The sequence below is a fragment of the Homo sapiens genome, chromosome 7, assembly GCF_000001405.40.
Source record: "Homo sapiens chromosome 7, GRCh38.p14 Primary Assembly".
In the NCBI taxonomy this organism is placed as follows: domain Eukaryota; kingdom Metazoa; phylum Chordata; class Mammalia; order Primates; family Hominidae; genus Homo; species Homo sapiens.
Window position 1 is genome coordinate 6,171,567 of NC_000007.14, and position 13,124 is coordinate 6,184,690.

The 13,124-nt window shown below is 47.1% G+C and overlaps 1 protein-coding gene across 4 annotated transcripts in view; it reads right to left on the bottom strand.

Moving 5' to 3' along the window:
- CYTH3 (cytohesin 3) overlaps positions 1 to 13,124 on the bottom strand; it is a 110,846-nt gene that overhangs the window by 9,788 nt on the left and 87,934 nt on the right. Inside the window, exons 5-7 of one of the 4 annotated variants that reach the window (NM_001367581.1) lie at positions 6,257 to 6,375; positions 2,624 to 2,846; positions 2,087 to 2,167 (exon numbers count right to left, since the gene is read on the bottom strand). Coding sequence is in view for 2 of the 4 variants with exons in the window: in NM_004227.4 (NP_004218.1) it covers positions 2,087 to 2,167; positions 6,257 to 6,375 (200 nt within the window). In the remaining 2 variants the exon portion in view is untranslated. Of the gene's footprint in view, positions 1 to 416; positions 572 to 1,164; positions 2,168 to 2,623; positions 2,847 to 6,256; positions 6,376 to 13,124 lie in introns of those variants that run through there. The other 3 variants (NM_004227.4, NM_001367580.1, NM_001367582.1) reach the window with 3 other exon arrangements.

Here is a 13,124-nt window from a genome sequence, read left to right on the forward strand (position 1 = left end):
CTCTGCCTAAAAAGTAAATATCCAGGATCCTGGCACTTCTCTGTCCCCATTGCCACCATCTCCTGCTGCTGCCAGGTGATCACCAGAGCCCTGCCTGTCCCGAGCTGCCACCAGCCGGTCCTCCTTTCAGAACTCCCACACATAAGGCAGAGCCATAGCCCACAGGACGGTATCCAAAGCCCCACCTACAGCACTGGGCGCTGCGGTCAGAAGCTGCTGCTGCCTTGCTGGGCAGACACATGCCTGCCTCAGAGACCAGGCCCAGCAGACACTCCCACCCTCAGGCATCCCCTCTGGCTGAGGTCTCCCTGGCTGCCCTGCCTGTAATTGGAACCCCCAGCCCAACAACCCGCCCCGCCCCCGCTCACTGCTTCCCTTCCTTGCGTTCCTTGGCTGCGTGGCACCACCCCTGCTACCTGTCTGCCTTAGCCACCGTCTGCCCGCCCAGGAGTGAGCCCCGGAGGCAGGGGCTGCAGTCCCCATGGCCAGCTGCAGCCTCCCGCACCAGCTATTCAGCAACGTCTGATGCTGCCGTGGATTTAGCACAAGGATCAAGACCGAGTTAGACCTTGAGGCTCCAATTAAGTCTCTGGGCTTTTTAAAATACTGATCCCACCAGCCATCGGGGGAGGATGCAGCCTGGCCCCGCGGGGCTCCTCTTCCTCTGCACGTCCCTCACACAGGGCAGCTCCCCAGGGTCCTTCCTCTGCTCTCTCTTCCCAGGATTCCAGCCACGTCTGGCCCCACTCTCTACCAGGCCCCTTCTTCTCCGCCAGGCCTGCACCAGCAGCCTTCAGACTCAACACAACCACCCCTCCTCCACCCCTCACTCCCTCTCTGCCCCACATTCACCAGCAAAGCATGCACCTGCCCACCCCACAGCAGTGATGCGTCTCGAGTCAGCCCGCATGCCTCTGCCCCACACAGGCTTGCCGTGCCCCTCAGGACAAAAGCTAACATCCTCAGGGCAGCTCCTCAGGCCACAGGACCTGCCTGTATTCCCGCCCATCCTGTGCCTCCATCAGGCCCTCTACGGGGCTATGCCAGGCTCCCACGGCTGTGGGAATTAATAGGAACCTCTCCGGCTCTCGCCAGAGACTGATGGACTGAAAGAAATGGAGTCACAGCTGCAAGGGCCGCACCAGACACCCCTCCCAGACTCACCAGGCCTGCACCCTTCTCTGGATGTACAGCTTCCAGAAACGCAATCTGATAAGCCTGAACTGCGGCTGCAGGATTCTTATATGTTGCGAACTCTCAGCGCACTGTTCAGCCCCAGGCTGCGCTGTGAGCACAACATCACGAGGGTCCCACAAAAACGCTGCCAACATTGCAGTCTGCAGTTGAGGTAAGGCCATGAGCAAACAGTCCACGTAAACGAGAACAAGGTATGAAGCCGAAGATTTGAGAAGATGACGAGGTGCGGCCTGATTTTCTTAGTCCAAGGGCCGGCTGAGGCGACTCCCACCAGAAGCCCTGCCTCCTCTCCCCCGGATGCTGCTGAGTGCTGGCTCAGGGTCAAGGCCCAGAACAGATGAAGAGCCCACGCGACTCAGCCAGGGCACCAAGGAAGGAAGCGAGACAACTTCCTGCTTGCAGAGCAGGAGGAAGACAACGTGCAGGAAGGGCAGCTCAAGGGGGCATCCAGGGAGTGTGTCCCAGACACCAAAATGGCGAGACACCTACATCCTCTCTGGCACACTCAGGTATCCATGCGTTTGGTGCTTTGGGTCAAGTGTGGAAGGAAGTAACCCCATGGAGCACCAACGCCACGCCATACAGAGCTTGGGAACAAGGCACTCGACTACTGCCATACACCATTACAAATAAAAGGAAACGGAATGGAAGGAGCATCAGCGGCCACAGTGAGGAAAGCACGGCCCTTATCTTAAGCGTGTGCCCCAATTCCTGTCTAGGGCTGCTCAGTGTCACACAGCATTAGCTGGATCATCCGGAAAAGGAGCCAGCATCTGTGAGACTCGTGTGGCACCAAGTTACCTGGAGTCAATTCACCGCCACTGCTGCCCAGGCAGTGGTCCTCTGGCCTTCCCCATCCACTCTACACCCAGCAAATGATCATACTTACCTTAAGGCTTGTACAAGGTTGAGATCAGCAAACTCATGGAGTTCAACAAAGGCTTGAAGAACTTTAATATTAAATTCATCCCTGGGAAAAAAAGAAGTAAGTTTCAAACCTAATGTACATTATCGCAATCATTTTAAAAGATGCGGCTGATGAATAATGTGGCTATGAACGTTCATGCACAAGTTTCTGCATGGCCATGCTTTTTTAAAACATTTGTATTTTTTGTAGAGGCAGGGCTGGCCATGTTACCCAGGCTGGTCTGCAACTCCTGGGCTCAAGTGGTCCTCCCACACCTCCCTGGGCCTCCCAAAGTGCTGGGATTACAGGCATGAGCCCCCACACCTGGCCACATTTTTATTTCTATTGAGTAAATACCTAAGAGTGGAATTACTGGGTTCCATGTTAAAGTTTATGTTTTACATTTTGAGTAACTGCCAGAGAGATTTCCAAAGTATCATTTTATATCCTTTTTTTTTTTGAGCCAGAATTTCACTCTTGTGGCCCAGACTGGAATACAATGGCGTGATCTCAACTCACCGAAATCTCTGCCTCCTGGGTTCGAAGCGACTCTCCTGCCTCAGCCTCCTAAGTAGCTGGGATTACAGGCATGCGCCACCATGCCCGGCTAACTTTTGTATTTTTAGTAGAGATGGGGTTTCTCCATGTTGGTCAGGCTGGTCTCGAACTCCCGACCTCAGGTGATCCGCCCACCTCAGCCTCCCAAAGTGCTGGGATTACAGGTGTGAGCCACGGCACCTGCCTGCATCATTTTATATCTTATCAGCAATGAATAAGGGTTTGACTTCCCTGCAGCCTTGCTGGCATTTGTTATGTGTCTTTTTTATTACGGCCAGCCTAATGGGTGTGAAATGGTATCTCCTTGTGGGTTTTTTTTTTTTTTTTTTTTTTTTTCCAGACAGAGTCTCGCTCTGCTGCCCAGGCTGGAGTGCAGTGGCACATTCTTGGCCCACTGCAACCTCCACCTCCTGGGTTCAAGCGATACTCCTGTCTCAGCCTCCCGAGTAGCTGGGACTACAGGCACCCGCCAGCACGCCTGGCTAATTTTTTGTATTTTTAGTAGAGACGGGGTTTCACCGTGTTAGCCAGGATGGTCTAGATCTCCTAACCTCGTGATCCACCCACCTCGGCCTCCCAAAGTGCTGGGATTACAGGCCTGAGCCGCCACGCCCAGCCTCTCCTTGTGGTTTCAATCTGCATCTCCTTGATGATCAATTGAGCATTTTTTCCTGTGCTTATTGGCCACTTGTGTAACGTCTATTCAGATCCTTTGCCAGTTTATAACTGAGTAATTTTTGTTATTTTTACTCTTATTTGGAAGAGTTCTTTATATAATCTAGATAGAAGTCCTTAGGAGATTACAAGGACTGAATCAGTATGATAACTGGTCCTTATAATCTGCTAAGGACTTACATCTAGATTATATAAGGAGAAATATATGAAGATATTTGCAAGTAATACTGATTTATTTCTATTTTTTGTAGAGGCAGGGCTCACTATGTTACCCAGGATGGCCTGTGGGTTGTCTTTTTACCTTTTTTTCAGGCTAGTCAAGTGAAGCAGTGGGAGTGGGGAAGGAACCAAGGAATCTGTAACTGATGATTAGCTATGAACACCACCATGCCCGGCCAGCCTTCAATTTCTTGATGTCTTCTGAAGCACAATATTCTGATGAAGTAGAGTCTACCTACTTTTACCCAGCACCATTTGTTGAAAAGGCTATTCTTCCCCCCACTGAAATTGTCTTGGTACCTGGTTGAAAAATTATTTGACATTAATGTGAGGGTTTATTTCTGGATTCTGAATGCTGTTCCATCATTTATGTATGTGTATCCTTATGCCAGTCTTACAATGTCTTGACTATACACTTTAGTCTTTTTTTTTTTTTTTTTTTTTTGAGAGAGTCTCACTCTGTTACCCAGGCTGGAGTCCAATAACATGATTTTGACAAACTGCAGCCTCTGCCTCCTGGGTTCAAGCGATTCTCCTGCCTCAGCCTCCCGAGTGGCTGGGATTATAGACACCTGCCATCATGTCTGGCTAATTTTTCTATTTTTGTAGACATGGGGTTTCACCATGTTGGCCAGGCTGGTCTTAAACTCCTGACCTCAGGTGATCTGCCCGTCTCAGCCTCCCAAAATGCTGGGATTACAGAGTGAGTCACCGTGCCTGGCCACTTTATTTTGTAATCAGGAAATGTGAGTTCTGCAACTTTGTTCTTTTTTAGACTGCTGTGGTTATTTTGGGTCCCTTGAATTTTCCATAGTAATTTTAGGATGTGCAACTTCTGCAAAGAAGTCAGCTGGGATTTCAATAAGAAGTACAATAAATCTGTAGATCAGTGTTGGAATATTGGCATCTTAGCAATAGTAAGCCCTCCAATCCACGAACATGGGATGCTTTTCCATTTATTTAGGTCTTTTCATTTTTTTCAACAATGTTTTGTGGTTTTTGGAGTAAAAATGTTGCTTTTTTGTTAAATTTATCCTAAGTATCTTATTCCTTTTAATGCTATTATAAATGGAGCTGTTTACTTAATATCTGTTTCAGTTTACTCATTGCTATTGTATAGAAATACAATTGATTTTTTTTTTTTTTTTTTTTTTTTTGAGCCAGAGTCTCACTCTGTAGCCCAGGCTGGAGTGCAGTGGCACCATCTTGGCTCACTGCAAGCTCCACCTCCCAGGTTCACGTCATTCTCCTGCCTCAGCCTCTTGCATAGCTGAGAATACAGGCGCCCACCACCACACCCAGCCAATTTTTTGTGTTTTTAGTAGAGGTGAGGTTTCACCATGTTAGCCAGGATGGTCTCGATCTCCTGACCTTGTGATCTGCCCACCTCGGCCTCCCAAAGCGCTGGGATTACAGGCATGAGGCACCACGCCTGGCCAATTGAGTTTTGTATATTAATTGTATATCATGCAACCTTACTGAATGTATTACTTCTAATAGTTTTTAATGATTCCTTAGGATATTCTATATATATGATTGCATCATCTGCAAATAGAATTTAATTTCTTCCTTTCCAATTTGGATGTCTTTATGTTCTTGTCTAACTGTCCTGGCAAGGCGTGCCAGCACCGGGCTGAACAGCAGTACTAAGAGCAGACCTCCTTGTCTCGTTCCTGATCTTAGCAGGAGAGCAGTCTTTCATCATTAAGTATGATGTTAAAGTGGGGTTTTTTATAGGTACCCTCCATCATGTTGAAGAAGTTCCATGCCTGTCTTAGCTTTTTAAGTGTTTTTATCGTGAAGGAGTTTTGAGTTCTGTCAAATGCTTTTCCTGTATTTGTTGAGAAGATCATGTGGGTTTTGTCCTTTATGTGAAAGATACATTACTTTAATTGACTTGTATGTTGAACTAACCTTGCATGCATGGGGTAAGTCCCCCTTGGTGCACAATCCTTTTTACCTATTGCTTACTATATATTACAGTCATAAGGATAGGGTCTGCCATTTTCTAGCGGTGTCTTTGGTTTGGGTATCAGGTAGTGCTGGCCTCAGAGAATGAGTCGGGAAGTATTCCACTTTCCACTTTCGATCAAATATTTTTTTTAAAAAAGCTAAAAACCAAAACCGCCCAACTTTAGGAACTACTGGGCTTTTGTTTAAAAACACTTTCTTCTGGTCTTTGACAAAAGTCTGTTTGCCATACTCAGGGCATGTGCTGCCTCAGCAGTCCTGCCCTAACCTCTGCTAAGCCAGTCGCAGTCAGAAAGTAAATCTGACCTGCTGCTTTCCATTAAAAAAATTCACTTTCCACCTTTATTCATACTGCAAGTAACAGGAGAAAGAAAACCACTGAGAAATCAGGCTTATTTCTGGGCAAAACAGAAGACGATTAAGATGCTTTCCAAGACAAGGAGAAAGGGGCAGCAGCATTGTCAGTTCTGTTGTGGCTCCCTGAAAAACAGGATTCCAGAGGAGTCCCAGGATCCCATAATACGGTAATGCCTCTCTCCTCCCATGGACACGGGAGAGGAACCGGTTGCACTGGGCTCGCTTGGTATTGAGACGGGCATGTGGATGCCCACAGCCCGTGGCTCTATCATGCCTTTAGGCTGTGATGGCCCCGAAAGTGGAGCGTGAGCCTAGGTCAAGCTGCAGGGCTGAGTGGCCCCAGGTAGGGCTTTGCATCCTCCTCTAACTCACCTTTCACCCAGGTAGTCCCCAATGACGGTCTTATTTAGGCCTTCTCCTTTATAAAGGAACTGGGCGACGTCTTCTGGGGAACTCTGTAGCAGGTCATTTTCTATTAGAAACTGAATTCCCTGAAGAACATTAAAATGGAAGCACTGGTTAGGAGTGTCACTCAAACTCATTTTTCAAAGACAGAAATACACTTAGTGTCAGGATTTTACTGGTATGGACACAGCAAAAATAATACCAGAGACACCCATACAACTGCACAATCTGATTTTCCCAAATCCATACTACATTTTATCCACCAAAGAAACGCACGTTCATTCCTCCTGTTCAGTTTAACAAGTTAAAAGACAGACAAATGGGTTATTGAACAAACCATTACAGGTGGTTATTAGAAATTATAAAGGCAGGAGTAACAGTAATATTAGATTTCCCAAGCTTAGAAAGATAGTTTATTCTGTGTCTGCGAGGAAAACTTTGTGGGTGGTGGCCACTGCCGGTTGGCCAACCTGGCCCCACTCCCAGGGACGCAGCAAGCGGGTGGTGCTGGTCCCCGCTCCCTGCCACCCCCTTCACTAGAGAGGGAGTTTCCTGGCTGCCTTTGGCACTAGAAATGACCTTGTGACCCAGATCTGGCCAGACAGAAAGGCAAGCCTGGAGGGAAAGTTTTTGATTTCCTGGTAAAAAGGAGCCCATGAGCCAGCACTGCTCTTCCTCCTCCTTTCTGCCTTGAACACTTATGTGATGACCAGAGCCACAGTGGCCATCTCACATGGGAAACCCTGAGATGTGTACAGGGACCGCCTTCTTGCCACTTGGGAGCCACCTACTGCTACACAGCTGTGTGAGAAGATAAACCTCGCCCTGTGTAAGATACATTTTGTTGGATTTTCTATTACCTGATGCCAAAAACATACTGACATGCTGTGCCACCAAGCTCATCCAGTCAAAGCTCATGCCCACTCTGAGGGCTGCGGCACAGCTGACAATCTCAAAGGCAATGGGCTGCCCCTGGCCTGAATCAGCTGAGCACTGTCTCATGAGAAGTCCCAGGAACCTATTAATAGAAATGTTTACCTCTAACACAGCCTTGCAGCCAGTTTCAAAATATGTGTTGGCAAGGGTGGCAAGGGAATAGGGAATTCAGAAATCAATTTGCCAGGAGGCCATTTCTACAAATTCAGAGAGGCTTTATCCAGCTAAGACTCTCAGTACCCAAGACCAGGGCTGCCTCATACCCTCACGGTCCATCCAGAAATTTCCTATTTTTTTTAAACACACGAACGTCCACAGCAGCCTTATTTCCAAAAACTGAAAACAGTCAGTAAGAGAACCGATCAGTACATTCTGGCATAATCACATGATGGAAGACTCTACAGCCATGAAATGGAATGAACACTCACAAGAATGAATCTCACAGACATGATATGGAGCAAAAGACGACACGGAAGAGTATTTCAGTTCCATTCACAGAAGGTTTTAAAAAGGCAAAACTTATGGTGATTAAGGACTGGTTACCCTGGGGAGTGAATTCCCTAGGATGAGGCATCAGAAAGGTGCCCTGTAATATTCTACAACTGCGGCTTGTTCTGGGTTGCAGTTATGTGAGTGTATTAATTTATAAAGATTCTTCAAGCTGTACATTTAGAATTTGTGCACCATGTTTTAATGTTATTCTCCAGAAAAATCAGTGAGTCTAACAATCCTAAATCAATTCTCATATGTATCTGGTGATGGTACCCACAGGGGCACCATCTAAATTACAAGACAGACACACACACACACACCACACACCACACACACACACCCCCCACATACACCTCACACACCCCACACCCCACACACACCCCACACACACACCACACACACCCCCCCACACACACACCCCACACACACCCCACACACCACACACACACACCCACCACACACACCCCACACCCCCACCACACACACCCCACACACACCACCTACCACACACACCCACCACACACACCACACACACACCACACACGCACACCACATACACCACACCACAGACACACCACACACACCCACACACACCACACACACCACACACACCCACACACAACCACACACACACAAACCACACACACACACACACACACACAGTAGCAATGCAGGTCTGGTCCTTCGAGAGGCCTAATGCAGCCCAAGTTCCCTGAAAACAGAGCCTAGGGCAGGAAAGACAGTGCTGGGGCTTTGCTATTGGCTCTAAGTGAGGAAAACAAGTGAGGCCGGTGGAGAAGCCAGGTGAGGCCATCAGCTGCAGGTGGGAGGAGAGACAGGACACCCTGAGGGATCACTAGTTGTCCTGTCATCTCTGGGGCTACAGGGCTGGGGGCCTGACCCTGCATGGTGAAGGCCCCTGCCACTGTCAGCTGAAGCCCAGGGAACTGAATGGGCCTGGGCATGAGGCTCCCATGCCTTCCTCTGGATGCTCAAGGCCTGCCCTAAAATTCAGAACACACAAAACACTGACATTTCTTGGAGAATGCTATCTGGCAGGTGACAAAGAGACAAGCAGAGGAGGAGGACACAGAAGCTCTGCGTTCAATCACACTTGTCCTATGAGACAGAGAGGAGAAGGTGCAGAGAAGGCCACAAGACAATGGAGGCAGAGACCACAGTGAGGTGCCCACGGCTGTGGAGACCAGGAGGGTGGCAGCCGCCAGGAGCGAGGCTGGAAGGGATTCTCCCTCAGTCTAAGCAGCAATCCTGCCCACACCCCGATCTCGGACTTCTGGCCTCCTGAACTGAGCGAGAATAGATTTCTCTTGTTTTAAACCACCCCGTTGCTGGTCATTTGTCATGGCAGCCCTAGAATACTAATACACTAGGTAAATACTCATAAAAGAAAGTGAGTGTTCTAACATTATTAGAAATGTTTACTATTTTAAAATACCATTTAAAAGTCAAACAGCAGAAATGGGGGCGGTGGCACCATTTGACCCACTACACCTACTCTATCTTTTTCTGTTTCTCTTCTAGGTGTGGGTCTCAATCCAAAGCTGGATTTTATTTTATATTATTTTATTAATACCCAAGTGTCTGTCTTGTCATTACTTTAGCCCAATCAAATCTACGGTGAGCACTGATTAGTTAGCACTTACTCCTGACCCCTTATTTGGTACTTTCTATTTCACAGGCCTTTCCAGCCTTGTGTTGAATGGATCAAACTTTCTTTATTCAATGTTTGTTAATAATTTAAAAATCCTATTTCTCTTCAGTGATTACTCTTAAAATTTTGACAAGTATTTAAACTTATTTTTATCTATCAACATCTAGAAAACCTTAGCTGTTCCTTCCTTCCTTCCTTTCCCCCTTGCTACTTAAATACTGACATAAATTTGGACTTAAAAAAAATCTTTTAAACAATAAATTTCTCACTTTGACATTCAAAGTTTTGCTTGTTTCTTTGCATGCCTTTCCTTTTTTATCCTATGTAGTCATTTCTTGTTTTGAGGTGTCACGCTCCAATTACACAATTCCTAGACATCAGAGAAGCCCTTGTGTGTCTGAACATGTGTTTCCTCACCTTCTCTTGTGAGTGACAGGACAGACAGAATTTGGGGTTTTAAATCATGTTTCCTCAGGCCTTGGCAGGCACTGCTCCCCTCCTGTCTTTGATCCAGCATCCCTGACAAGCTTGCTGTGCTCCTCATTTCTTCTTAGGTAATCTGATCTTTCCTTCCTGGGAAATTTAATGAATTCCTCTATCCATGAGTTTTACAACATTTTACTTGACACGTCTATGTGTATAAGTCTTTTCAATTTTTATCCTGCTTGGCATTTGGTGGGGCCTTTGAATCTAAGGATTTTTCTTAGTTCTAAAATATTCCAAGATTTCTTTGAAATATTTCCTCTCCTCCACTTTCCATTCTCTCCTTCTGTGACTTCTATTACATGAAATTTGGGCTGCTGGACCCACCGTGCATGTTTTCTTGTAGGTCTCTGCAAAACTGAATAAAGAATTCTTAAACTCTGTTCTAGCACACGTCCACTCTTCAGCCACGTCTTCTCCATATGCTCAAGTGATGATGTGACACACACTCCTAGTTTTCATTTCCAAGGTTCTTTTTCACAATCCCCCATTTTTATATCATGGATAAGAAACATCCTATCGTATCTCTTTGATGATATTTATAATATACACAAATATCCTACTATAAAAAGTTTCCTCCTATTGTTTTTTTGCTTCTTCTGTTTTTATTTTGTTTTGTTTTTTTTGAGACAGAGTTTTGCTCTTATCGCCCAGGCTGGAGTGCATTAGTGCAATCTAGGCTCACTGCAACCTCCACCTCCTGGGTTCAAGTGATTCTCCTGCCTCAGCCTCCCGAGTAGCTGAGATTACAGGTGCCTGCTACCATACCCAGCTAATTTTTTTCTATTTTTAGTAGAGATGGGGTTTCACCATGTTAGCCAAGCTGCTCTTGAACTTCTAACCTCAGGCAATCCACCCACCCCGGCCTCCCAAAGTGCTCGGATTACAGGCGTGAGCCACCGCACCCAGCCTCCTGCTTCTTTTTTAAGAGACAGGGTCTCATTCTGTTGCCCAGGCTAGAGTGCAGTGGTGTAATCACAGCTCACCGCAGCCTCAAACTCCTGGGCTGAAGCAATCCTTCTGCCTTAGCCTCCCAGTAGTTGGACTACAGGCACATGCCACCACATCTGGCTTGATAAAGGATTTAAGAGACAAAGTCTTACTGTCACCCAGGCTAGAATGCAGTGGTGCAATCACATTTCATTGTAGCCTCAAACTCCTGGGCTCAAGTGATCCTCCCACCTTAGCCTCTCAAGTAGCTGGGACTACAGGTGCATACCACCATGCCTGGCTTATTTTTTTAAAAAAACTGTTTATAGAGATGAGGGTCTCACTATGTTAGGCTGGTTTTGAACTCCTGAGCTCAAGTGATCCTCCCACCTAGACCTTCTAAGACGTCAGGATTATAGGCATGAGCCGCCCTCCCCGCCTCTATTGTTTCCATTAAGTCTGTTTCCTCCAGCCTTAGTTCTTCTGTTTGTTGGGTTTCATGTCTCTTTCATGGTGCTGGTTTCCTCAAACGCTTGGTGGTGCTTGGTGGGTGTTTGTCTTTGTATTTTAGGGTCACTGTTGGCCTAACAGAATGCTACTTGCTTCTGGTTTTTGCTGCAGCTGCCTCCAGTGATCTGGAAGAGGAGCAGGTCAGGCAGCCAACGGCTGGTCTCTGGGAGTGGGTATTTCTCCTTGTTGGTGCTGCCACCCACCGAGGACGCTGCCTGTTTTCACGGACTAAGTGCTCCCTCTTGCTTTTCCCACCTGGAGACACAATCACTGCTAGACACAAGGTCAGGAGAGCGTGACCAGTCTCGACGTCCCTCCCACAGTCCTGTTCCCTGAATGTACCTCCTCTGCACTCGGGGAACTCTGAAGCTGCTCTTGCCGCCCCCGGCAGTTCTTTCTTGTATGTGCTGTGGGGAGTGTTTCCTTCTCCAGCTGATCCCATTTATCTTCTTCCAGGGATTCCTCAATTTCTAGTCCACTGAGTGGACCCCTGCTTGTCATATAGATTTATATATTTTATTTAAGGCATTTCTAGGAAATCAGGAATAAAGGAGAGGCTGCAGAGTGTTTTCAGCTTCCTTGATCTAATCAAACCTTCCCTCTTACTCATTAATGAACTCAAGTACTACTTCTAGAAATAATGCACCTCAACAAACCAAAGCTCCCTGTTTAAAGTGTCATCACTCTGAGACTTAGAAAACACCATCCTAGCTGGAAGGAATTTATTTGCTCTGACAATGTCTTCATGCTTCATAGTGTTACAGGTTTAATAGGGGCATGGGGAGGTAGATATAATTTTGAGTTGTGTCTGAAGCATGTGAGATCATCCTTTGCAGCTGTGAACGAAATGTCCGTGTCCCCCCCACAATTCATATGTTGAAGCCCAAACCCCCACTGTGATGCTATCTGGAGACGGGGTCTTTTGGAGGTAATCAGTGTTACATGAGGTCCTGGCCTCATGGGATTTGTGCCCTTATAAGAACATCACCCTAGAGTGAGTAAGTTCTCCTTACTCCCCAGCATGTGAGGATACAGCAAGAAGGCGGCTACTAGCAAGCCAGGAAGAGAGCCCTCACCAGACACCAATCATGCTGGCACCCTCATCTCGGACTTCCAGCCTCCAGAACTGTAAGAAAATACATTTCCATTGTTTACGCACCCCCTCTGTGGCTTTTTTTTTTTTTTTTTTTTTTTTTTTTTGAGATAGAGTCTCGCTCTGTCGCCCAGGCTGGAGTGCAGGGGCGGAATCTCGGCTTACTGCAAGCTCCACCTCCCGGGTTCACGCCATTCTCCTGCCTCAGCCTCCCGAGTAGCTGGGACTACAGGCGCCCGTCACCACACCCGGCTAATTTTTTGTATTTTCAGTAGAAACGGGGTTTCACTGTGTTAGCCAGGATGGTCTCAATCTCCTGACCTCATGATCCACCCGCCTCAGCCTCCCAAAGTGCTGGGATTACAGGCGTGAGCCACCGCGCCTGGCCCCCTCTGTGGTATTGTGTTAGGAAGGCTCAAGTGGACTGACAAGTGCTATATTCAAGTCTACAAAACTTGTAGTTTTGTTGGCCCTTATTATAAATCTGACACACGGTATATATAAAACAGGAAGACAGTCAAGAGCCTGACAGAGAGGGCTTCATAGGCATGAAGAAAAGTTTACGCTCATGAAGCTGAAACCTGATGCACAGTAGTGGCATCACTTTATTTATTTACTTATTTTGAGAGACAGCCTCTTACTCTTGTCGCCCAGACTGGAGTGCAGTGATGCAATCTCAGCTCACTGCAACCTGACTCCCAGGTTCAAGCGATTCTCGC